Source organism: Homo sapiens, chromosome 10 (assembly GCF_000001405.40).
Source record: "Homo sapiens chromosome 10, GRCh38.p14 Primary Assembly".
Lineage (NCBI taxonomy): Eukaryota > Metazoa > Chordata > Mammalia > Primates > Hominidae > Homo > Homo sapiens.
Genome location: NC_000010.11, coordinates 13923361 through 13950799, shown reverse-complemented (window position 1 = coordinate 13950799; position 27439 = coordinate 13923361). Strand labels below are relative to the sequence as shown.

The 27439-nt window shown below is 43.0% G+C and overlaps 1 protein-coding gene across 3 annotated transcripts in view, besides 2 other annotated features; it reads left to right on the top strand.

The window, feature by feature from the left end:
* The window catches only part of FRMD4A (FERM domain containing 4A), a 687219-nt gene that overhangs the window by 380125 nt on the left and 279655 nt on the right, over positions 1 to 27439 (top strand). The gene's annotated exons all lie outside the window — the stretch shown is intronic.
* Positions 4319 to 4819: an enhancer, noted in NCBI's record as "H3K4me1 hESC enhancer chr10:13987981-13988481 (GRCh37/hg19 assembly coordinates)". NCBI's record gives its function as "activates a minimal SCP1, AML or CMV promoter by ChIP-STARR-seq in naive H9 embryonic stem cells {active_cell/tissue: H9 hESC(naive)}" and the evidence as "EXISTENCE:reporter gene assay evidence [ECO:0000049][PMID:30033119]".
* Positions 8408 to 8592: a silencer, noted in NCBI's record as "fragment chr10:13984208-13984392 (GRCh37/hg19 assembly coordinates)". NCBI's record gives its function as "represses an EF-1alpha promoter that drives an FKBP-Casp9 reporter gene in an ReSE screen in K562 erythroleukemia cells {active_cell/tissue: K562}" and the evidence as "EXISTENCE:reporter gene assay evidence [ECO:0000049][PMID:32094911]".

Here is a 27439-nt window from a genome sequence, read left to right as displayed (position 1 = left end):
TGAGCTGAAACCCAAATGAGGAAAAAGAATGAGCCAAGCAAAATTCTCAGGAAAGGACACAGGGAAAAGGGAAGCGGGCGTGCAAATGTCCTGAGGCAGAAACGAATGTGGCACATGGTGGGAAGAGAGGGAAGACAGTGTGGCTAGAGTATAGTGAGTAAAGGGGAGGGTGGAAGAGAGAGAGGCTGGAAAGGCAGATTCCTCCAGGAAATCTTAAGTCCCCACCTCACTTGCTCCTTCTGTTATCCTACCTGGTCCATTCTGCCTTGTCATGGCATTTTTTTACAATTATTTACATCATGTCTTCTATCTCCTACCCTACCATAGGCACCTCTAGTGGGAAGATCAGGTCTTACTTGTTTTTCTGTCCCCTCCAGCGCTAGATCAACACAGTGTTAAATTAGTTGAATTTCAGTGGAGGAGATAAGACAGAAATGAAATCTGTGAAGATTCAGACTTTCCCAAGTTAAAACCAGTCTTGAGTTACAGATCAAGATGATGCCAGAAATAACATCACACTGAAACATCAGTCAAATGTAGTCATCATGGCAAAGGCCAAATGTCCCTTTCTTTTTTTGCCTCCGCCTGCCTGGGAATTTAGCATCCCCTAAAGCCACTCATCTGGGACAGGATTTTAGGGTGTGTACATGTTTTTCATCTCCACAGGACCAGCTGTGTGTGGAGGAGAATTCCTAACATGGGCTAAGGTCAGACCAAATTAACCCCAAAGACTCCTTCCCCAGCAAAGAGTTGTGAAGTAAGTCAGTAATGTGGCTAATGAAAGAAATATTTTCTGAGATGTTGTGATCTGTCATAAGAAGTGTTGATTCTTGATGACATGGAAAATGACTAACATCTTATTTCATGCATTCCAAAGAGAAAAACCCACAGATGTGAGTGCTGCTTTCCATACCCCAGTGCTTCTGAAACAAGACGCTGAGAAATCTCCATGGTTTAGGGTGCAGCTTGAGCCTTGTCAGAAAACCTAGGCTCCAGTATCAACTCGGTAGCATTTATTAACTGTGTGACTTGGGATGTCCCTTACACACTCTGGCTCTTAGTGCCCTCGTCTATAAAATAAGGATTTATAAAATCTATCTAATAGTACTGATGTGAAGACTAAAAATTTGTGGAATTGCTTTGTAAGTCATAAAGGGTCTTACAAAATACAAGTAATCTCAGGCTTTTGAAAAGTCTTGGCAATATCAATTCTGGTCTTCCATATGTGGAGCTACAAGAACAAAATATTCCCAGAGTTCTTTTTGATTAAGTATGGGCCTAGATGTGAGTTTTTAAGACCCATGATGTATTTCCCAAATCTGGAAGATGAATACTAAAAGAAAACTCAACTTGAAGTCATGTATAAATTCCTGTGTGAACTAAACTTCGTGTAAGTAATCAAAGCTGTACTTGAAAAGTTAACTTTTAGAAAATGCAAGTAGAAAACTTCTCATTACCCCATCCTATTCTTTCTTTCTTTCTTTTTTTTTTTTTTTTTGATCACTAGAACCTAGAACTTGGGAGCTCGTCTCACAGATTCACCCATACCAGGGCCAACAACGTCTTTCACCCTGATTGTCAATAGCAGAACCTGCCTTTACTGAGTTTATCGATCTTGAAAGTGAAAGGCCTTTAAAAGTGGTTACACAGTCACTGAAGACCATCCATTGGCATGTGTTGAATTGTATTTATTCCATAAAAGATTTAATCAACAATGAAAATAAACAAACTCCAGTTCCTAAGCACTCACAACTGCCCATACTTTAGGTAGCTTGAACATGATTGCAAATGCCATAATATTTGAATGATCAAATAAATTGTTTGCATTTTAACTTATTAAAAATCCTCTCGGCTGGGCGCAGTGGCTCACACCTGTAATCCCAACACTTTGGGAGGCCGAGGCGGGCAGACCACGACATCAAGAGATCAAAACCATCCTGGCCAACATAGTGAAACCCTGTCTCTACTAAAAATACAAAAATTAGCTGGGTATGATGGTGCGCACCTGTAGTCCCAGCTACTAGGGAGGCTGAGGCAGGAGAATCGCTTGAACCTGGGAGGCGGAGGTTGCAGTGAGCCGAGACTGTGCCACTGCACTCCAGCCTGGGTGACAGAGTGAGACTCTGTCTCAAAAAAAAAAAAAAAAAAAAATCCTCTTTTCCATGGGCTTATCAATTCTCCTCATCCCCACCACCTGCTCTCTGCTCAGACCCTTTTTGCCCATGCTGTACCCTAGAGCTGCCTGCAAAATGCTCCTAACCCCTCCCCATCTTCATCCAGTCATCTTCACCTTCATTCCGTTTATCCATCATTGTATAAGTCACTTGTCTGCTGAGATATCAGTACCTTTAGTGGCTCTTGATTGCCTATTTTAGGGCCAAAGATTTCAGCAGCAAAGACCTTTGGCAGAATTCTATACTAAACTCCGAATATGTAAAATAGATTTCAGGCTGGGCACAGTGGCTCACACCAGTAATCCCAGCACTTTGGGAGGCTAAGGAGGGAGGATCGCTTGAGCCCAGGTGTTTATCATTGCATTAAGCTATGATTGTACCACTGCACTCCAGCCTGGGCAACAGTGAGAATCCTGTATCTTAAAAATATATATATATATTTCAACATGACATTTTAGTAGCATAAGTGAATAACATTTATTTATTACAAGTCCATTTAATGAGAACCATATTTGCTTGCACAATAACAAGAAAATCCTGGAACACACTGATAAGGTGTTTTTTTTTTTTTCAATTTACTTTTTATTTTTTATAGAGGCAAGATCTCCCTATTTTTGCCCAGGCTGGTCTTGAATCCCTGGCCTCAAGCGATCTTCCCACCTTGGCCTCTCAGTGCCGGAATTACAGGCATGAGCCACTATGCCCCGCCTGATAAGTTTGTTTTATTTTTTTGCTTATTTTTTTTGAGTGGACATGCACAGGCCAGAATATTTGAAAAGGACAGGACAGAGTTACTCTTCTTGACTCTGGATGACATGGAGAATAACCATCCAATGAGGCATTTGGGAAAGTTTCAAACAGATCCAAAGTGATGGCAGAAGGATCTATGTTCTTTACCAAGACATGCAGGAGGAGAAGCACAGATTAAACACTGGAGGCTTCTGCTGTACTATGGCATGTATTTGAGTGAAAATGTTAGACATGGTGTATATATATGTGTGTGTGTGTGTGTGTGTGCACGTGTGTGTGTGTGTATGCATGTTGCATGTGTGTCTCTTTTATAAATGATAACTAAATCCAGTTTTGACAGACTCCCCTAGGCATCCCGTATGACCACAGATCTTGGTTTGGTCATCCAAGACCTTCCCAACTCCACTCCATCTTACCACAGAGAGGGGTAACTGAGTGCCCTGGTTTTAAGTCAGTGGACTCTGCAACAAGCTCCCCTTGTTTAAAATCCCACTCAATTATTTACTGTTTGTGAGATTTTGGGCAATTCAGCCTCTGTGTCTCAGTTTCCTTGTCTGTTTAATTGGGAATGATAGCGGTCTGGTGAAGATTAAGTGTATATAGAGAGTGCTAATATCTCCAAACTTGCCTCTTTCTCCTAGCGCATCCATAGCATCCACGTAGTCAACTGCTCTATTCCTTGTCCCCAAAACCCCTGGGACACTCAGGTCTCCGCTTTCCTACCTGAAGTGTCCGTAGCCTGGAAGGCTGCAGGCTAATGCAATTCTTCCTTTCAGGTGGTTAGATTCCTACCCAGCCTTTCAGACATGCCTTGATGGAAGGTTTCTGTGATGACCTTACATAACCCACAACAATCTCCTCTCTGAAGTCCTACAGCTCAGGTACCTTCCTGAAGCCTCCCAAGCTTCCCCATATGAGCGCTCCTCTTGTCTATAATCATTTGTCCCATGTCTGCCTTCCTCTTCTTTGTGCCATAAGCTCCCCGAGGTCAAGTCTGCTGTTTATTGAAGCATGGCCAGCTCACAGCACTCAGCCAGGTATAGGACAGGCATCGAGAGATAGACACATGGAGACAGACAGACAGACACACAGACAGAACACATCACCCATTTGACACACACCTTACCTTGCCAGTTCTTTCTTTACAACCTTTATAGGCTGGCCATGCTGGTCTTCAGTGGACCAATCACTTGGCAAGGAGAAGGCGAGTAAAAGAACAGAAGTGGAATTTGGAAGATGTGAAAGCAAAGATGAGAAAAAAAGAAAAGATTGGGCAATTTTCCCAAGGTAAAGGATCACTAAAATGTGAGTTGGTGGCCGAGTCTACACCAGAGTTTCCAGACTGACCCAAGGGAGTGGGATGTGTTCAGTGTCTAAAAGACACATGTACATGACTTGGGAAAGTTGCATTAGGTAAATAAACAAGTGACGATGACATAGGAGCACCTAGAATTTTTTTTATGGTGAGAAAACACTCCCTTCTCCTCCTGAAGTCTCTAGCGTTCGCTGACTTGGTTGACAATATGGCTGAGGTAGGGACAGGGATTCTGAGTAACGAGCACCTCTTTCAACTTCCTGGTTCTAGCCTTAGCCCTCAGGGCATCAGAAAGATTCTTGCGTTCAGGGAAGCATCTGCCTAAAGAGTCCAGCAGAGTTCATTCTCCTAGCTCTGAGGTGCAGGAAGAACTTGCATGTGCCTCTGACTTCACTGGCTCTCCCCAGGCATCTGGGTCAGGAAAGGGACATAAACCAGTGGCATCCCTTGATTGTCCCCCTTTTGATCCCAACTCATAGTTGTGAAGTCCATAATTATTCCACAGAGGGGCAGTCCTGTTTTTTACTTCCCTAACTACGTGCTGGTGCATTGCTCTGAGACGCAAGAAGGCAACTCCTAGGGAATGTGTAAATAATGCCTGTGCTCTGATTGATGGCTTTGTTTGCAGCCAGAGGAAGTTGAAACTGGGGCCTCTGACCCTGGCCTGGTCTGGCTTCTTCCTTGAAGCCTGCAGTCATGAGCAAGGAAATGAAGGATCACTTCCTGGGGATAACTGGATCAGGAGAAAGCAACAACAGCCAAATGCATAGTTCCCTCTCACTGTTTAAATGGGGAGGTGGCAAGATTTCCTGGGGTGACCCTGGCTCTATAATCAAGTGAGCTTTATTAAATGGCCGCATGGAGCATGTAAATTCTCCCAGCCCAGCTTATATAACACACTTTGTGAGAGGCGGAAACCAGTTCGAATTTGAACCTCTGCAGAGCCCTGCCTGGTAGATTTGCAGACAGCGGTGCCCATGAGACATCTGAAACTTTACGACTACATATTTAAGCATTTATGAGACTTGAACTGTGTTCCATTAAAATGGAAAAAAAAACTGCAAGGAAAAAAATCCTGAGACTTCCAGCAAGGGTAATTAGCCCCAAATGTTTCATAAAGGATTTGATAGCATTCTGGTTGTAAGCCCCTTTCCCCGGTCTGTCATAGGAGAGAAAGAGAAGAAAGAAACCTATTACAAATTCACCATTACTTAAAAAAAATCACATGACAAAACCAAGCAGCTGGACCCAGGTTTAGAAGAAGACTAACCATACAGACCCTATCCCAAAGTGACATTAAAATTTTACTGGAGAGAAAATATTTAAGATATGGACTTGGTTGTTTTTGTCATACCTACCAAAGAAATCCCTTCCTTTTTATGCCCCTGTTCATTCACTCAACTTCTTCCCTTTTGTTTCTAAGTTTGGCACTAGTCCGGCTGGCTTAGTGCCTTCCAACCTCCCACCAGGCCTGGGTCTATTTCTCTGTTACTCCCATTGTACTGTTGCTGGTGGAGAGACCGGAGGGGCGATCACTGGAATAGGAGATGTCCACGTAAAGCCAGTGTTAATCCCTGCCTAGGTGACATCACATAAATATGGCTCAACCTGATCACACTGAACTCCCCATGAAGAGGGCCACACCACAGGGTTCCCATCAGGCTATGTCTGGCAAAGACTCAGCTATTCCGTGTTCTTCATTGGAAGGATAAGAAGTTGCTTTCTATCTGACACTGTGTGCACAGACAGAGAAGGCACGTATCATTAGAATGTATTTTTTAAGCCTTTCTTTTTTACGGAAGGAACTTTCAGAATGATAAGTCAGCAAATGAGGCAGCATTAGTATGCAGAAATAGCTACAAATATATAACAGAAGAGTTTTCTATCTAATGTCAGGGAAAACACCTTGAATCTTATGCAGACCTGTCATGTTCTGTTGAAGGGTGTATGGTCCCAGTGGTCCCCAACTTTTTTGGCACCGGGGACCTGATTCATGGAAGACAATTTTTCCAAGGACTGAGGTTGGGGGATGGTTTCAGGATGATTTAAGCACATTACATTTATTTCTATTATTATTACATTGAAATATATAATGAAATAATTCTACAACTCAACATAATGTAGAATCAGTGGGAACCCTGAATTTGTTTTCCTGCTACTAGATGGTCCCACCTGAGGGTGATGGGAGACAGTGACAAATCATCAGGCATTGAATTCTCATAAGGAGCATGCAGCCTACATCCCTGGCAAGCACAGTTCACGAACAGGGTTCGTGCTCCTGTGAGAATCTAATGCCACTGCTAATCTGATGGGAGGTGGAGCCCAGGTGGTAATGTGAGCAATGGGGAGTGGCTGTAAATACAGATGAAGCTTCACTCTCTCACGGCTCGCCTCCTGCTGTGCAGCCAGTCTGTGGCCCAGGGGTTGGGGATCCCTGCTACATAAGATCCCCAAGAAATAAAGAGACAGCTCTGATGGTTTAGGTATTCACCTGCCCAAAGACAGACCTGGACAGATGGTCTCTTTTGGTTTGTCCAACTCTTTAATTCTGTTGTCTCTGAATGGTAGGAACATATCGAGTGCCCTTACTGATGGCCGGAGTTATTTATAGTCTCATCTTTTACGCTGTCACCTTGAAGGTGCCTTTCTTCCCACTGAGCAGGGCCACTCTGCTCCAGTTCATCTGAGTCAGACTTTCCACAGCAATTTATCCGATCCACACCAACCTATTTCCATACCAAGTATTTTTAAAGACATAAGCAATATTTGGTTTCTTTGTTATCTAAACAGAAGGAAAATCATTTGCTTTAAAGTTACATGCAAGGTAACACTCTTTGGTGTGGGTCTACTTTTCTTTCTTTCTTTCTTTCTTTTCTTTTTCTTTTTTTTTTTTTTTTTTTTTTTTTTTTTTTTTGAGACAGAGTCTTGCTCTGTCGCCAGGCTGGAGTGCAGTGGTGTGATCTCACCTCACTGCAACCTCTCCCTCCCAGGTTCAAATGATTCTCCTGTCTCAGCCTCCCAAGTAGCTGGGACTACAGGCACGTGCCACCACGCCCAGCTAATTTTTGTATTTTTAGTAGAGACAGGGTTTCACCATGTTGGCCAGGCTGGTCTAGATCTCTTGACCTTGTGATCCATCCACCTCAGCCTCCCAAAGTACTGGGATTACAGGCGTGAATCACCGCACCTGGCCGATGTGGGTCTCCTTTTCAACAAATTATCTATTTTTGCTCAATTATCTATATTTGCTGCCTTCCAACCTCCCACCAGGCCTGGGTCTATTTCTCTGTTACTCTCACTGCACCGTTGCTGGTGGAGAGGCCTGAGGGGAGACCACTGGAATAGGAGATGTCCACCTAGAACCTTATGCAGACTTGCCTAAGTTTCCTCTTGTGTTCTTGTCCTGGACATCTTGCCGTGTGAGAAAGCACGGTTCCTCCCAAATGTAATTGTAATGTGTGATATGAAATGTATAACTCGCAGTTTTAGAATGACAACATTTTATAATCTATGAACCACCTCCCCCTTTCTATGATCAGATATTTCATGAAACAAACCACAAGACGTCTTGCTTCTCTCAAGGAAAATGAAATCAAAAGACATAGGTCTTTTTTTTTTGCCTTTTTGTTGAGATGGAGTCTCACTCTTTCGCCAGGCTAGAGTGCAGTGGCACAATCTCGGCTCACTGAAACCTCCACCTCCTGGGTTCAAGCAATTCTCCTGCCTCAGCCTCCTGAGTAGCTGGGACTACAGACGCGCGCCACCACGCCCAGCTAATTTTTGTATTTTTTGTAGAGGCAGGGTTTCACCATGTTGGCCAGGATGGTCTCAGTCTCTTGACCTCGTGATCTGCCAGCCTCAGCCTCCTAAAGTGCTGGGATTACAGGTGCGAGCCACCACGCCTGGCTAGATCTCTTTTTTAAAACTTTTCTTTGCTATCTGGAAATAAGACTTTCTGTTTTTGCACAATACCACAGATCCTTTTAAAATGATGTAAAACAATTCATTCGTACCTTTTCTAGGGGCTTGGTCAGCAAAATGCCAGCCATATGTCTTGCAGACTGTTCTAATGACAAGAGTCTGGGCTGGCCTCAGACCTGCTCCAGTGTAGCCTTGAGGGCCCGTAGCTCAGTTATCTCTGTCTGATGACTTCAACTTGGGCTTGCCTTTCAGAAGGGAGGCTTCTTTTGTTCACAGAGCTCAGCCCCCATTGCAGGTTCGCCCTGGCTGCTCTCCCAGGCAGTACACAGGGAGGGGCCCATCATTGCAGAGACATCTATGGAGATGTCAAGACAGTGCCTGCGATGAAAGGGAGCGCTCATTAGTGCCTTTAATGAGGCTTCCCCAGTTTCATTTGTGGCTGAATCAGAAACTTTCTGAATCATTTACCCTGTGGCAGAGCAGTTTTCAGACATGAGAAAGGATAGGGTCCCTCCATCACAAAGAAACCTCCATGAAAACTTGACACCATTAAGGGCCTGGAACAGGGCGCGGTGTCTTCAGAAAACCACACCTTCCCACACCAAGGAGGGTAGCTGGAGTGACCGCTCTGGAAGACCCTGTGGCTTTTCTGCTGTGGTCCACCATGTGCTTCCCTCATATGGGCACCTCCCAGACTCAGGGCAGTTCCAGACCAGGGTAAAATGTAAAACAGATCTTACCAATATAGTAGAAAAGAGAGGCCTCACTCCATTCCAGGGCCAGCTAGGAGGCTGTGGCCACCTTCTCTCTAAGACTTTCTGTTTTTGTGCAAAATTCAGAGATCCATGTAAAGTGATGTCAGGGAAGCCATTCACACCTTTTTTAGGAGCCTTGTTTAGCAAAATGCCAGCCATGTGTCCTGTAGACTGTTGAAATGATAGGTGTACAGTCAGGCCTGGCCTGCCCTTCTGTCTGAGGGCAAGCACAAATCCTAACTGTAAGTATAATTCTATCAGCTCAAGCCTCCAAGTAGCACCAAAGCTCCTCTAGTTAACCTGCCTGGTGTCTACGATCTGAGACTCTTCTCTTACCCTGTTTTGTTTTGCTTTGCTTTTTGAGCCTTCATAGTTCCTTGGGCTGCCATTTTTTGACAAAGTAATGTTATATGTTTGGCTTTGCATACACACTGTATTAGTCCGTTTACACGCTGCTGATAAAGACATACCCCAGACTGGGTAACTTATAAAGAAAAAGAAGTTTAATGGATCATAGTTCCATGTGGCTGAGGAGGCATCACAATCATGGTGGAAGGCAGAAGGCATGTCTTATATGGCAGCAGACAAGAGAGAATGGGAGCCAAGCAAAAGGGGTTTCCCCTTATAAAACCATCAGATCTTGTGAGACTTATTCACTACCATGAGAACAGTATGGAGGAAACCGCCTCCATGATTCCATTATCTCCCACTAGGTCCCTCCCACAACACCTGGGAATTATGGGAGCTACAATTCAAGATGAGATTTGGGTGGGGACACAGCCAAACCATATCACACGATTTGCATTTAACTAAATTGGACCCTTTCAAGTCCCATGGTTCTCGGATACTAGGATTTCAATCCTTGCTCTCTTTCCCCGTCCTCTTTCTGAGTTCATTAGAATCTTCCCATCCTGCTTCTTCCTTTATAGTCAGTAGCACCAGAGAGTAGAGAATGAATCCTAGCCTGGCCACTGACCAGCTGTGTGATCATTGGTTGACACAACCACTCTGGCCCATGGTTTACCGGAGGGTTGGACTAGGAAATCGTAAAGACATTTCTGAGCTGTAACCTTCCATGAATCTATAGATAAGAAAACAGTATTGGGCTGCTTGGAAAGATAAAATGGAAGCTCTATCAAGATGCTGTTGTCCACCCAAGGACATCTTCTCTTGACATTCTCATCCCATCACTACCCGGGTCAGCCTCAATTCCTCAATCCTTTCAGAATCCACTTAGTAAGAGAGTTAACCTTGTGTGAAGAAGCAGTGATAGCGCCATTCCTGTTGCAGGCTCATAGCACGGAGGTTGAGATGGAGAAATACCCTCAGGCCTATACATAGGCATTATTCAGAAATCTAATTTTAATACAAGACCATATTTTTAATAGGACAAGAAATAACATGTATGGCATCCAATTAAATGTAGACTCCTGTCTTTTGAGTATGAAATCAACACAACATTGACTGCTGTCCTCTCATGGAAGTAGACAGTAGGAAAGACCTCACATTCTAGCCCCTTACACTGCAACAGTTGACATATTCCTAAATGGAGAGTGAGGAAAGGTGAGGAGGGCTGGATTTGACCACAGGCCTTGAAGAAGTTGACTGCCCATGGGAAAAGCCAATCTGTGACCTTGAAGAAGTCAACCCATGACCTTGGCCTCAGTTGACGCTGCTCTGAGTGAAGCATTGTCAGACCCCCAAGGAAGCACGTACTGAGAAACATGACTTCACTCCATGAGTACTTGGGGAAACTGAAAGGGTTTGTGCCCTTCAGTTTCCCCAAGTACTCATGGGCTGTAGCAATGTTTCTCACTTCCTAACCCATAAAGCCAAATGGCTCATGGTGGACCGGACTTCAACAAGTATTAAGTTGTTTTCTCACATTTATTTCAATCAAAGAGCTGCGCTGTTTGCATGGCCAAATAATTGGAAACAAATACCTTAATACACCTTACAAATGTGTATCCCTTTGCACTTTAGAAAGCAACTTCAACTATCAGGACAGTGAGCTTTGTTTTCCAACTAAGGTGATGAGATGGGAAAACCTTTTTGCTGCCAGAATGGGAAATCTGATTTAACAAAGACTAGATACTGACTTCCCTTGTGGCAGCCCTGTTGAAAAGAAATGTGGCACATCCAGAAGTTGTCTGAGAGGGGGTCACTGTGCAGTACTGATTATTCTTGTTGTTGTTGGCTCTGCAAAGTAATTCCAGGATTTTGTTCCATTCTATATTTAGTCATGCCTGCTATTAAATTAGAATACTTTTATATCATTGACCTTTGACATATGGACATTTTTCTGGAGGAAAAAATAACATTCAAACTCTCATATTAATGTTGGGAAAGTACAACCCTCAAAAATGTGGCAGTTTCTAAAGAGCCAGGAACTAGCCAATCAGAAGTTTATATTACAAATAAATCCCACTCATTATGCCAGGGAAGCATGTCAAGCATTGGCAGTTATGCTGGCCAAGCTAAAATGCTTCCTGAAAAATTAGAATTCCCAAATAATGCATTACAGCTTTTACCTTATGAAAAATAGAGGAAAATTGCATTGGTAATCTCACCATAAAATAAAAAGTAGATCCAAAATATAACTAAAATCATGTGGTTAACAATTTTCAAAACCTTAAACGCTCTCCAGGATGGTTTCACTCCCTAATCTCACCCTACATTGATTAATCCCAGGCAATTTAGAATAATGTGAACCATACGGTTGGTACTGGCGTTGAATTCCCTGCAGCTGTTTCAATGGTCTTGCCTTACCGTGTAGCTGCCACTTCCTCTTAACCCTCGGGTTTCTCAATCTTGGTACTATTGACTTTTCAGACCAGATCATTCTCTGCTGGAGGGTGGGGAGGATGGTGCTATTCTGGGAATTCTAGGACGTTTAACAGCATCCCTGGCCTCTATCAACCGATGCTGGTAGCGCCTTCCAGGTTGTGACAATCAAACATATCTCATGATGTTGCCTTGGACTATTGGTACTTGGTACTATTGACATTTGGGACCAGGTCTTTCTCTGTTGGAGGTTGGGGAGGACGGTGTTGCTCTGGGCATTCCAGGATGTTTAACAGCATCCCTGGCCTCTACCAACTGATGCTGGTAGCACCTTCCATGTTGTGACAATCAAACATATCTCCTGATGTTGCCAAATGTCCTCCACTGGCTGGAGAGCAGAGGTGCAAAATCACCCCTAGTGGAGGATCACTGTTAACCCTTCTGTGCCCTGTATAAAGCTTTGCCAGGATTTTGTGCTGGATAAAAATGTAATAGTATACTCTATTGAGGCAATAGAAGAACAGAGCAAAAAGTAGTTCATATAAAACCACAATAAGAGTCTGGGCACAGTGGCTCATGCCTACAATCCTAGCACTTTAGGAGGTTGAGGTGGATGGATTGCCTGAGCTCAGGAGTTTGAGACCACCCTGGGCAACATGGCGAAACCCCATCTCTACTAAAAATACAAAAAATTAGCCAGGCATGTTGGTGTGCGCTTGTAGTCCTAGGTATTCGGGAGGCTGAGGTGTGAGAATCGCTTGAACCCGGGGGGCAGAGGTTTCAGTGAGCCGAGATCATGCCACTGCACTCCAGCCTGGGCAACAGAACAAGACTGTGTCTCAAAAACAAACAAACAAACAAACAAACAGCAACAACAAAAAACACAACAAGAATGCTTTCTGAACACAAGGAAAACTTCTAATACTGAGAGTGCTTAATAATGAAATGCATTCAATGCTATTCTATTATTTGAAGGTCTTTAAAAATTAGAAGATTATCTGTAGTGGTGGTTTAGGGGCAAATAAATAGCACAGGTTTCTCTTAAATTCCTTTTTCAGACTTTTTATTCAGTTTCTTTCATATTTAACAAAAAGGATAAACAGAAAAGCATGTGGGTATATAAGAATACAAAGGAAAAGTAAATTTTTTCACAAGAAGTTTATTTTCCTTCTTTAACTGAGGAACTAGGCATAGAAAAAATGCAAGAATTGCTTAAATGAGAAACAGTGAAGAATGAAATTGAAGGATTAGTGGATCGTTCACAATATAATGGTTACAATTAAGAGATTTGTCTACTGATAAATGCTTGCGAACACACGTGGTACTAACTGTTCTTCCATCCCTCTCACTGGAAATGGATTTAGAGATTGAAGAGCTTTTTAAATTTTAATTTTAAGTCCCTTTTTTTCATTTCAGTTTTATTAATCTTCATCATAAATATTAATTTATGAGCACTGATGCCCAAAGAGCCTCAGGGCTTACTCACGAAGGATAATGAACATCACTGCTGCAGTTAACCAAAACGCAGCCTGAGTGTGAAAGAGCTGATTTGTTACTCAATTTGAGGCGGGTCTAAACCTAAAAGGCACCCCTCTTTATCGGTGATCATATTTAAAGGAACACCGCTGTAAGTATAGGTAAAACATTTAAAGGCTGGGCGTTGGGTTGGTGACGGGAGTTGTAGTTTTGACTTCTACAACATGAAACGTTAACTCTTAGGTATCTGCTCATAAAGTTGTTTTTTAGTTCATCTGCTGACCCTTTCTGCTTCTCTGAGTACTTCTCCATGCGGACAGTTATTTCAGGTCTTCCAGGAAGCACCACTGTAATCAGAGAGTGAGATCCTTCACCACCCACCTGAGGGTTGCTGTTATTGAAGGAGTGTTATTCTTTCCTCTTTCTAAAGACATGTAGCTTCTGGGGATAGCATGCATTTGATGCTTTCTGGGGAGAAAGGGGATTGCCCAACAAAAGGTTTGCAGAAATGTCACCCCCAGAGAACATTTGCAACCCTCCCTTTGCTGTCAGGAGTATTTCCACATTGCTGAGAACTCAAGGCTCCTTTGGTGAGCCCAGCCAGAAGGGCAATGCATGCCTGCCTTGTTCCTGGCAGCTGAGACCGCAGCAGCTTCTAGTAAGTGGATCAGAAGCAACAGAAAGAAATGTCAAGACTATTTATTTAAGGGGAAAAGCTTAGTTAACACGAGTGTGCCATGTAAGTGATGAAAGTGTAACAAAATGAGGAGTTTTTTAAAAAATCAATGTAGAATATAGAATCTTAAATCTCTGAGACACAAAGCAACCCAAGCATCCTTGGCTCACCCCTTCATTTGCAAGGAAGAGGGTCTTCATCTATTCAGGCTTGTATAATAGAATCCCATAGACTAGATGCCTCATAAACAACAGAAATATATTCCCTACCATTCTAGGGCCTGTGAAGTCCAAGATCAAGGTGGGGGTAGATTTGGTGTATGAAAGGGGCTCACTTCTTGGTTCATAGACAGCAGTCTTCTCTTTGTGTCCTCACATGGCAGAAGGGGTGAGGGAGATTCTGGGGTCTGTCTCTTATGAGGACACTAATCTCATTCATGAGGCTTCACCCTCATGACCTAATCACCTCCCAAAGTCTCTCCATCCTAATATCATCACCTTGGGATTGAGGATTCCAATATAGGAATTTTGGAGGAGCACATTCAGCCTATAGCAAAGAGCCATTCTTTTCAGTCCACCCAAGATGAATAGGAGACTGGTCCGAAGAGTTTGGTGGCAGAACTGGGACCTCAGACTCTAGCCATTTTTGGCACTGCAGCACCTGTTGATGACTTAGAGTGATGACTACCGTGCTGCATGAAACCAGGAGTCCAGTTGAAGCTCTTTACTTTCCCCTAAGATCATACTCTGACTCCTCCAGGAAGCTTTCCTGGATTATACACATCTGTCTTATGGTTACTTGTGTGCCAGCACCTAAAGGGTAAGAATTATATCCACTTTTGTTTATCTTATTCAATATAAGATCTTACATCTTGTTCAGTGTAACTGAGTCCATATCTGATTCAGTGTCTGGGACAAAAGAGAATCTAAAGAAATCCCTCTTGTGCCAAACACATTTCCCTTTAGTTATACAAATCTACCATGGCAGCTGAAGGGGGACAAAGGAGAGAGACACATCCTGGTCAGGGCAACCTGATGCAATGGAAAGCACACAGATTCTAGAGTTAGACAGACTTGGGTTTGAGTCTTGCTTTTTCTACTTGCAGAAGGCATGTTTTGAGGGAATTCATGTAGCTTTTTGAGCCTCAGTTTCTTTTTAGTAGGAAGGAGGATAGGAGTATCTAAGCTGCCAGGGCTGATAGGAGAGTCCAACATGAGAGTAAGTGGAAAGAGCACAACACAGCCCTGGCACATCGCAGGTGCTGAAAAAAGGGCTCCTAGAGGCTGTTCCCTGCTTTCTGGCCTTGCTTCACGTCACCACTGAAAAATAAATATCAGAGATGATAAACTTGTCTTTATCAGTTTTCTGGAAAACAAGGCACACCATATACAACAATATTTTTACCTAACATATTGGCAGATTGGCAGATTGTCCTGGGATTTTCTGGAAAATCGTTGATCATTTGGTAACAACTTTTTTTTTTTTTTTTTTTTTTTTTTTTTGAGATGGAGTTGCACTCTTGTCACACAGGCTAGAGTGCAATAGTGCAATAGCATGATCTTGGCTGACTGCAACCTCCTCCTCCCAGATTCAAGGAATTCTCCTGCCTCAGCCTCCTAAGTAGCTGGGATTGCAGGTGTGCACCACCACACATGGCTAGTTTTTGTATTTTTAGTAGAGACAGGGTTTCATTATGTTGGCCAGGCTGGTCTCAAACTCCTGACCTCAGGTGATCCGCCTGCTCAGCCTACCAAAGTGCTGGGATTACAGGCATGAGCCACCACACCCAGCCCATTTGTTTTCAGTTCTAAAATGAGGACTGCTGCTCTAATCTTGGATTTTCATGGTTTTATGGCCTAAATGTTTGTGTCCCCCCAAAATTCATGAACGGGATTCTGCCCTCGTGAATGAGATGAGTGCTCTTGTAAAAGAGGCCCTAGAGAGCCGCCTTACCCTTCTGGCATGTAAGAACACAACAAGAAAGTGCCATTTATGAAGCAGACAGAGGCCTCACCTGACGCCAAAGCTACCAGCACCTTGATCTTGGACTTCCCAGCCCCCAGAACTGTTAGCAATAAATTTCTAATGTTTATAAATTACCCAGTCTAAGGCATTTTGTTATAGAAGCCCAAGGGACTGCAACACATGGTTCTCTTCATAACCTGATATTGAATTTTTTACTAGGTAATTATCATGTGTTCCATTTCTAGTTTATCTGAAATGAAACCAAAATATAATTTAGCATTCTAACGTAAGGCTATTTATGTAAAAATGTTGCTCTCCCTGCAAGAGATCGAGAGCAAAAGGACCAGCCATTTTTACTGCAGCAATTGTGGAGTGAAAAACTTAGGCCCTAAGGAACCTTCAGTCTTCGTCAACAAGGATATAAGTGGGATTACCCTGCAAAGTTTGCTTCTCTTTTTCTTTTGGTTAATGAATGTGAAAGGACAGCCAGCATCTCCATTTAAAAAAAAAAAAAGTTTTAAAATGAATGACTAGGACACTTTGAGCCCCTGCTTTTTCAGCTATAAAATTAAGCTTGCGCTTCCAAGAATTCAGTGAATGAAGTGGATCCGTAGACATTTGTGGAGGAAAAGAGTTCAGACTTTTCTCTAAATTCTGATGTCCTCATGCAAAAAATAATAGTTTTCTCTGTGAATCTAGATTGTCTACACCTCACTAGAACCTGTTCCCTGTTCTAGGCATCATTTGAGTGAGGTATGATAAGAATTAAGAAAACTATGTCTCTAAAACAAAGCACTTTCTTGTCCTTTCCAAGGCTCCTTCTATGTTCCTCACCACCCTTAATGCTGTCATAGTCAATGTGTTTTAGGCATAGAGCTCCTATATTTTTTCCAGGGTGCTTGCCAAATCCTGTAGTGCTTTTCTGATCACTTCTTTTAGATCTCCATTCATAATGGTTTCAATGTTCCTTTACAACCTTAGTTGATTCTGCTGTTGCTATTTTCTGCATAATAGTTATAGAGCTGTCAAGGATGCTGTATCTCCCTATGCAGTTATCCTGGTGACATTTCTAGATTTTGTTCAGCTTCCCTGATGGGTCATAGAAATGAGCTTTTCCCCTGTTTCACCACCTGCCCCCTGCTCCCCTAGCCAGCTTGTCTGCTGTCCAAGTCCTTGGGGAAGCTGCTTCCTTTCTATCTGTGTCCCAGGGGCCTCTAGGGGCAGAGATACAGGAGAGAGGCAACAGACATTGGCCACCACTACCCAAAATATCAACAAAAACAACAAAACTTCTTATGTTGAAAATCTGGAAAAGAAATGCTTGAATGTGGATGAAACTGACTGTAAAACACATCTTGTTCCCCTGTTCACACACTCACTATGCCAGTGGGATAGAGTGACCCCTGTCACGGACAAAATTTTGAAACCCTTCATTCTTTCAAATGTAGTAATGTTACTGGTGGAGGGTGGCCAGGTTCTTGGCATCTTGAACAAACAATGGGACAAAACGCATAAACAAGCAAGGAAGGAATGAAGGGATTTATTGAAAATGAAATTATACTCCACAGTGTGGGAACGGCCCAAGCATAGGGGCTCAAGGGCCTCGTTACAGAATTTGTGGGGATTTAAATACCTTCCAGACGATTCCATTGGTTACTTGGTGTATGCCCTATGTAAACGAAGAGGATGAAGTAAGTTACAAAGTCATTTACTCGGTGTACACCCTATGAAAAGACATTTCCTGTCATAGCTGAAGTGTTCATCCGCTTTATGTTCCCTGCCTCCAGACCCTATTTTCCTGCCTTAGTAAGAATTTTTTTTTTTTGAGACAGAGTTTTGCTCTTGTCCAGGCTGTAGTGAAATGGCACAATCTCAGTTCACTGCAACCTCTGCCTCACAGGATCAAGCAATTCTCCTGCCTCAGTCTCCCGAGCAGCTGGGATTACAGATGACTGCCACCACGCCTGACTAATTTTTATATATTTAGTAGAGACAGAGTTTCACCATGTTGGCCAGGATGGTCTCGAAATCCTCAGCTCAGGTGATCCACCCGCCTCAGCCTCCCAAAGTGCTGGGATAACAGGCTTGAGCTACCGCACCCAGCCTTTCAGAAATATTTTTTTAAGCTAGTCAAGCATGGTTGTAGGGGGAAGAAAGTGTTGATTGGCTCAACAATAACCCACATTGGGTTATTGTGCTTGGGCTATTTTTTAATTATAATGAATAAAATCAATTACTTTTTGGAGTAATCACACACCTGTATATTAAGACATCATCATTCACTATCATTTTATGGGTGTTGTTACTATTATAACTTACTCAAAGAGACTGTAAGTCCCAGGGAGTAGTCCCTTCTAAACATACAGCATAGCCTTGAATGGGTATAAGTTGAAAATGAACCAACAGTATTGGCTGGTGATTAAGGAAGGCAACACAATTGTAAGTCACTTCCTTAGAAATACAGAGACTCCTAGGAGGAGCAAGAGAGACTGCCCCGCCTTCTCCTCATGGAACAAGGTGTGGCATCTGCAAAGTCACCAGCTAAACAGACCTGGAAACCTGGAGTTTGTCCAGAAGGGGCTTTCAGGAGATGAAGACTCTAGACACTGTCTATGAGAAGCAGAAAAAAATGGAGATGTTGAGCTGGAAGAAGAAAAGCCACAGAGAGGACATGACCCATGTTAATGTTAGTTAGCTAACATTAAAGCACTCATTCAACTTTCATTGAACAAACATTTGTTGAGCACCTTCTATGAGCCACTTACTGTGCTAGATTCTAAAGGAACCAAGGACAAAGCAGAGGACCAGGTTATTGCTTCTGCAAAACTTAGACTTGGTCAATGGGTCTGGACAAAAATGTTTTCTCAGGGAGCAATAGAATTTGGGTTGGTAATACATCTCTACGATTCTGTGGGAATGAAAGAGGCCATTTGCCTTATCCTTTCTTAATTCTTCATCTTTATGTTTCTAATTAATTGTGTAGAAGGGGGTTGGTTGGTTGGTTTGTTGGTTGGTTGGTTGGTTGGTTGGTTTTTGAGACAGAGTCTTGCTCTATTGCCCAGGCTGGAGTGCAGTGGCACAATCGTGGCTTATTGCAACCTCCACCTCCCGGGTTCAAGCGATTCTCCTGCCTCAGCCTCCCAAGTACCTGGGATTATAGGCACACACAGACACACCCAGCTATTTTCTATTTTTTTTTTTTTTTTTTAGTAAAGATGAGATTTTGCCATGTTGGCCAGGCTGGTCTCAAACTCCTGACTTCAGGTGATCTGCCCACCGTGGCCTCCCAAAGTGCTGGGATTACAAGCATGAGCCATCACACCCAACCTTAATTGCATGTTTTTTAACTCCCTCAAGAAAAGGCAGTTACACCCCACGTGAGATGTGCAGGGATAGGGGATAGAGCAAAGGCTTTACTGCACAGGGTAGTAGCAGCCAACCTAGCCCTGGGAGTCAGGAAGGTCTTTCCTGGGGAATGAACAGTGAAATCTCCACTCTGAGATGTGGAGGATGCAGAGGAACTCATCAGAAACCATGGTCATTGGTACAAGGGTCCTCGGGGGGCACAGCAATGGATGAAGCCTAGAAAAAGAATGGATTTGGCCAGTGCTAAAACTGCAGCTCTTGCTAGCTAGAGTCATACAGTCCAGAAGGGGTAGGTGGGGGAATACATAACAGCCCTAGAGCTGGAGGTCAGTGGATTCTGGTTCTGCCTTGGCCTTGACTTAGCTCTGGGACTTTGGGCAACTCACTGAGTCTCTTCAGAATCAGCTTCCTTTCCTGGAAACATATTGGTGGGTTAAACCATCTCTAATCTCCTCTTCCCCCTGACCTCTTTATGGCTCAACACCTTACATCAGAAAAGTTAACATTTTAGGCCAAAGGCTTTGGGAGGCTGAAGTGAGAGGATCGCTTGAGGCTAGGAGTTTGAGACCAGCCTGGGCAACATAGAGATATCTCATCTATACAGAAAGTTTCTAAACATTAGCTAGGTACGGTGGTGTGCACCTGTAGTCCCAGCTACACAGGAGGCTGAGGGAGGAGGATCTTCTGAGTCCAGGATTTTGGGGCTGCAGTAAGCTGTGATGGCACCACTGCACTCCAAACTGGGCAACAGAGCAAGACACCGACTTAAAAAAAAATTAACAAATAAGCTAAAATTTTATAAATCTTTCTAAATAACAGTATAATTTAGGTTAAGAACCACTGCTCTGGGATTCTATAGCAATTAAAGGCTCTTTTGCCTTTTTATTCTTAATTCTACACTGTTATATTCCTATTTAAGCATTCTTTCCCTCAAACGACGTTTTCTCCTAAAGCTGCAGTCCCTGTATCTGTCTGTTTCCCCCCAGACCCTTCGGGAACGTCTGGCAGTGACACTCTTTGCATGGGACTGGGTTTTACAGTAGATTAGAGAGAATCATTTTCAACACCACAGGGACAAACCATATCTCATTCAAAAACAATCCCTAGGCATGTCCCTGAGCCTCCGCGGCCATCAATGGGTCTGCAGAGCTGAGGTTTCCTTTCTGACTCCTTGAAAGGCTCACGCAGGACAAGTAACCCCTGCGGCTTATCAGGCAGAGACCAGCATTATCAGACGCTTAACGGAGAAGCCAGAGAGTAGCAGGAGCCCTCTCTTGTCACTCGTCACCTCTTTATTACCATTCTGAGCCAAAACCACACAAGCCACTAAATGCAGTGAACGCCTTTGATGAAAGCAGGGCGTAGTGAGTGAAGGAGGTAGAGCCTCATTCAGTCCTGTGCAGACCCGGCTGAGCCTATGGGGATTGCAAGCTGGAAGTCCTCCACAAATACATAGTTCTCTGCATGAGTGAAGTCATCTCCATCTTCTCACCAAGTTTGAAATAGGGTGTTATTGTTACATATCCCTCCTGTCTGGAAATTAAATGTATTTTTTTTCTTGGAGAGAAAATTGTTAATTCTCACTCCATGTCCTGGCACTGAATAATAATTATTATAATCCTTTTGGTTAATATTTATTGCATGTTTATTATGTACCTGGCTCTTTGCTGTATGATTTTCATGGAATATCTAATTTAATCTTCACAGCAACCTTATGAGAGTATTTATGCCCATTTGATAGATGAGCAAACTGACACAAAGAAAGTTCAAGTTAATTTGCCTCCATCATAGCACTAGTAAGTAGCACAGCTAAGATTCAAACTCACAACAGACTCTGACCGCAGATCCCATCTCTACCACTACAGCCTACTGCCATGTTGCCTGCTGAGAACTGAAATACTGAAAGTTATAAATATTTTGCCTAAGTTAATATTCGGGAATGACTTAGAACCGCTAATAGAAACTAGGCCTCCAGCTTTGGGGAGTGCTGTTCCCTCCCTACTGTCCCCCAATTTTTTCAGGTGGCAAAATAAGCCTAAATTCCAGGTTTTAAACCAGTTGTTCTGGATTTTCCTTCCAGAGGTGATGTTGGTTCTTATCTTCATAAGTTGGTTTTCACTCTGGAAGGGACAACACTGCTCCCCCACCAGGCTCTACCATGGCAAACCTTCAAGGTGCAGCACTCGGGTAAGCAGGTGACCCAGGGCGTAGTAGGCGGGCAGCTCTGCACCTGCCAGGTGGACACAAAGGGTGTCCAGGTAGCACGCTGTACCTCCAGCTCAGGGTGGTCTTCAGCAAGGACTCAGCCTGGAGAACACACGGCAAGTTCTCCAGACTGGCTGCTAAGCATTCCATGCAGAAAGAGAATGGAGCCTGCACAAATTATGAAACATGGAACTGTCACTGTGATGATATGATTATGGAAAATTTACATTTTATATGTCAAGTGGCAGCTTAATTTAAAAATAAAAAACTCCTGCAGGCTACCATCCCACAAATAATGTGTGGCTTGCTGTGCAGCCAAACACGCTTACAAATAATAAGGAAATAAAACATGAGAATAACAAAATGGTTTGGCGCAAAAAGAAAAGGGTGCCAAGCGTGTCCGGTTACTTTCAGATCAATTTCTAATATGCCACCAAATGCTCAAGCATGTTTGGAACAAACTGGAGGCCTTATTAAACTGAGAATTCCATGTGACATTATTTCAAGGAGGCCTCCTCCTTCTCATTACTCTGTTGCACGTCTCTGAACAGGCAGGAAGGGAGAGGAAAAAGGAAGCTGGAAGAAGTCCCCTGTAACTTGTGCCCACTGGGCCGTCTGTGCTGGCTGAGTGGCCCAGCCAGCCCCTAGCACTGGGGCAGAGGGAAAAGGGATGGGGCATGACTTTCAGCAGTATCTCCTCTCCTGCCCAGGGACACCCCCACATATCCTCAGAGCCACTGCCAGCCAGCCTTAGCACAATGCCAAATCACGAACAGGCCATTAAGGAGAATATATGATCTCCATTTATCACTGACTGTAAAAAGAAATGAAACAGAGCAGCTAAGTTAAAAAACCAACTGCTAGTCTTCTAGTAAGGGTCTTTATCTTTTTAATCCCACGGCTTTAAAAAATGTGCATGTAGATCATTTGCCAGGATATAAATGCCAATCCAAATACTTGTGTAAATAATTTAATTTTCATTAATTAGAATTCAGAGTTTAGGATTTTTTCTTTAAGTAGAAGAGAAAAACAAACTTGGTTTGCTCAGAGTTTGTTTTTCTCTTCTACTTAAAACAAAAAAAAAAATCCAGCTAAAGATATGTTAAGTAAGGCTGGGCCTTTCAGCACTTTGGGAGACCGAGGTGAGCGGATTGCTTGAGCCCGGGAGTTGGAGACGAGCCTAGGCAACGTAGCAAGACTTCTTCTATGCAAAACATTTAAAAAGTTGGCTATGCATGGTGAAATGCACCTATAGTCCCAACTACTTGGGAGGCTGAGGTAGGAGGATTGCTTGAGCCTGGGAGGTCAAGACTGCAAGGAGCCAAGATTGCACCACTGCACTCCAGCCTCAGCAATAGAGTGAGACCCTGTCTCAGAAAAAAAAAAAAAAAAAAAAGGTATGTTAAGTATAACTATCCTTTTCCTCCCAGCTGAATTTCTCTTTTTAAAAATGGATCATTGAGCTATAATTTTAAATTCTAAATACAATTCAGTTGAATTCTGAAAATGGACTCTAAAAATAATATCAAGGAAAAAAATCTGTTACATTTCTTATGAGCTCCATCTTAACTTACTTGCTCCAAATGAACTCAAGTTTCTTGAATTTCCAACACTGCCAACTACTTTAAAATCTAAAGATCAAGTTGTGTTTACTTTCCATATGTTGTTATGAAATGATGGCCTTCTCTTCTGTATGGACAGTCTCTACACATTTATAGAATTTATAGTTCTGGCATTTACTATCATGCTAGCATCACTTGTGGAAGAGGACAGCCTAATGGAAATAACTAGACTCTCGTTCTGATCGTTTCCTCATGCAAAGGGTATTTTTTGGCTATTTTAAAATTATCTCCCAGCTCCTTGTAGAACTTGTACCCTGAGAAAAGGCAGAAACCACTTGAATCCAATTGAAATAGAAAATTCTTAACTTCTTGAGTGCTGTAAGAAAAATCAGATACCAATATATGATTCAGTAAGCTGTAAAAATCAATCTTCAAGCACTGATTCATGGGCAGCCATGAGTTTAGAGGAGTCTAGGTTCTAGAAAACATTTCTATTATAGTAGAATCAGTTTTTCTACATAGATGGTTTTACATGTTAGGGGAGCAAATGATGACACTGGGCTTCATTCTCAACCGAATTTTTTTTTTCTTTTTTTTTGAGACGGAGTCTTGCTTTGTCACTCAGGCTGTAGTGCAGTGGCACGATCTCAGCTCCAACCTCTGCCTCCCGGGTTCAAGCGATTCTCCTGCCTCCACCTCCCCAGTAGCTGGGATTACAGGTGTGTGCCACCACGCCCAGCTAATTTTTTCTGTATTTTTAGTAGAGATGAGGTTTTACCATGTTGGCCAGGCTGGTCTTCAAGTCCTGACCTCAAGTGATCTGCCCGCCTCAGCCTCCCAAAGGGCTGGGATTATAGACGTGAGCCACCACACCTGGTCTCTAAACTGAAAACTTAAATGAAGGCTTGGGTTGGACTCTTAGGACTTGGAAGAACTTGACCATGTTACCTTCTTCGGAAAGGTGGGAAATCCAATCTGTAGGAATAAAGATAGAAATTCCAGAAGTGACCCTCAGTGGAATTTATTTTTCTGCTCTAAAAGTATGTGGGTCTTTTAGGCGTCTTGGCTCTGTTCATTCTGTGTATCCTTGTACATTGTCGTGTAGGGCACATTTTTCTTATTTGCTTGTATAAGGACACTGTCTTAAGTAGAAAACATGAAGACCAGCATGGTCAGTGAGCCCTGAGTGAAACAAATGTCCTGTCTTACTACAATCAAAACTCTGTTTCAACAGCAGCTGGTGGACCAAAAGGAAATACTGTGCTTTCTGCTAGTGTTTGAAGGAGATGACATTATAAAGCCTGCAAGTAAATCTCTAGCAGGCTTCTTATCTTTGCCTTTGGCTTCCAAATTGCTGACTGATCATTGGGACTGCTGTTGTGTTGCTTTTTATTATGGACTGGAATTGCCTTGGTTATTGGCTTGGCACTAATCAATACCCATCACAAAAGGGAATAGACAATGAGATCATCATCACTCCTCCTTCTCCCAGGCCTTAAGGGGTCCAGAAACAATCACTCCCTACAGTAAAATCTCAACTATCTGGACCAGTCTGGCTGCAAATAACCCCAGTGATGAGATTTTCACTGATTCTTCTAGGAATCTGTGTTCACAGTTGGCCAGGGCAGGCTGACAAATGTTTTCCAATACACAGCCTCATTTTCTCTTCTGTTCCATTTCTTCACATCACTTCTAGTTAATGCACAATATACAGAAGCAGAAACAGGTCAAAACTGGGTTGAATATATTCCCCTCGTCTGTGGTTTTCAAATCTCTGCAGCCACGAATTTCCTCCTTGAACCACACACGATGAACAGACGCCTAATAGGAGAAATAAAAAGTTGATTTCCTTGAGCAGCAAATTTTTAGCACACACCAAATTCAATCAATCATATAAATGTACTGATTGATAACTTGAAATTGCATGAGGTAAAGGGAAATTTTATACTAAAAAAAAAAAAAAAAAAGAGCCAGGTGCAGTGGCTCACCCCTGTAATCCCAGCACTCTGGGAGGCCGAGGTGGGCAGATCACGAGGTCAGGAGATCTAGACCATCCTGGCTAACACGGTGAAACCCTGTCTCTACTAAAATTACAAAAAATTATTCAGGCGTGGTGGTGCGTGCCTGTAGTCCCAGCTCCTGAGGAGGCTGAGGCAGGAGAATTGCTTGAACCTGGGAGGCGGAAGTTGCAGTGAGCCGAGATCACGCCACCGCACTCCAGCCTGGGCAACGGAGTGAGACTCCATCTCAAAAAAAAAAAAAAAAAAAAAAAAAAAAAAAAAAAGCGTTTCACTACAATAGAAACTTTCACTGGGCCCGATATTGTTACACTGAAAATGGATTTTAAAGAAGGAACAGAAACTAAAATTAAAGAGCATTTGCATGCTGCCTTTTGTGCAATTAAATTTTTCTGGGAAAGTGGTTTGAATGACCAAGAACAGAAGATAAAGCGATCACATTCAGGAGGTTAAATTTTTGTACACAAAAGTAAATATACAAATACTTTTGATTGATAATAGAAGTGGTGATTAGAGGGAATTCTTTGTTTAATGTATATCTCCATCTGTTTTGGCCCAGTGGTCAAGATCAAGCCCCACCATTGGTGCAGTCAGTGAATCTAAATTCTGATCAGGAGTGGGATAACCCCACCATCCCTGTGATATCTCTTCCTTGAAAGAAGTAAGTGCAGATCTTGCCCATTGTGCCACCACAATTGCAGCCTGTATTAATGAAGAAATGCTCCAGTTGCATTCTCTCTTAAGTCATTCTTTTTTTTTTTTTTTTTTTTACACGGAGTCTCGCACTGTCACCAGAGCTGGAGTGCAGTGGTGCAATCTCGGCTCACTGCAACCTCCGCCTCCCAGGTTCAAGTGATTCTCCTGCCTCAGCCTCCTGAGCAGCTGGGATTACAGGCGCCCGCCACCACGCCTAGCTAATTTTTTGTATTTTTAGTAGAGACGGGGTTTCACCATGTTGGCCAGGCTGGTCTCGAACTCCTGACCTCATGATCCGCCCGCTTCGGCCTCCCAAAGTGCTGGAAGTCATTCTTTCAACAGATGTCTGCTGAACACACTATGACAGGTACTCTTCTAAACATCAGGGATAACGCCGAGAATAAAACATGTCCGTGCCCATGCTCAGGAAAGTTCCATTTTAAGAGGACTTAGGGTAGACAGGAAATGAACAAATATAAAATCTGTACTGTGTCAGATGATAAGTAACATCATGAAGAAAAATAAAATAGTCTAGGAGGATGGAGAGTAATGTGAAAAGAATGTGGTTTTGACTGAGTGGTCAGGGACTGCTTCTCCCTGAGAGAAGTCCTTCCTTTATGGCAAGAGATGCTATCTGGGGGAAGAGAGTCCCAGGCAGAGGGAACGGTAAGTGTGGTGGCCTAGAGGTGGGAGCATGGCTTTTCTGATGACTGGGAAAAAAAAAAAGGAACGAGAAGAAAAGTAGGCGGAGATAAGATGGGGTAGAAAGGAGATTTCCAAATAATGTTGATTTTTTAGGCTGGCCCATGCACTTTGGCTTTTACTCTTAATTAGATGAGAAGTCATTGGAGGAACTTCAGCTGGAGTGTAATGTGATCTGGCTTACGATTTTAAAGGATTACTCAGGCCATGGCATGGACAATAGACTGAAGGAGGCCATGTTCCACAGCCTGAGTCATTTTTAGCCATTCCCTCATTGGGCAACAGAGACAGCATGTCCATGAGATGGGCACATAGTATAAAAGTGGGGAATAACAGCTTCAAGATCTTAAAAAGCTTCTTCTTAACTTTAGATGCGCAGCTGAATTGCAGCCTCCACTGCCTCTCCCCTAGCCACGGCCCACCCCAACCTGATGGTTGATCCCTCTCACATGGTTTGTCATTGACATGTGGCACATGCTGCCTCTATCATTACATTGCTTTGTGACTTGCAGGTTTATTTTGTCTATCTCCCCTTCAATACTGTGCCAACCTTGAAAACAGGGTGGTGCCATGTTCACCTCTCCATTCCTCCCCAGGGCTGGCACATCACAGAGACTCAACCATGCTTCTTTGCATCAGTGAATTCTTTAGCAATCTGTTAGGACTAGCTAGCACCAATAAGATGAAATATCTTAAAGATCAACTGCTTATGTATAAGATAAACGTGGCCTACCTTTACAATAGTCCAGGTTTTAAAAAAAAGTCTGATTTTTAGCAGACCTTGAACTCGGTGTGAGGCATTACATGTGGTATAGCTGTTCTTTAAAAAAAGTGATGAAACCTTATGGTAAACATAGGTTTGGGCCATTTGCCGATTAGAATAAATGTATCATAGCATATACATGATGCTGTGCTAACATACCCGGTTTATGTGTGTGTACGTATGTGCACACATGTGTGAGCAGAAGCATTGTTTCCTCTTTCATCAGATAAGGGACCTGCCCACAGAGCCTAAGTCTAAAGTTGTGGTACTAGTAGTTTGGAAGGAGAAAATGTCGCACTCAGGAACACTTG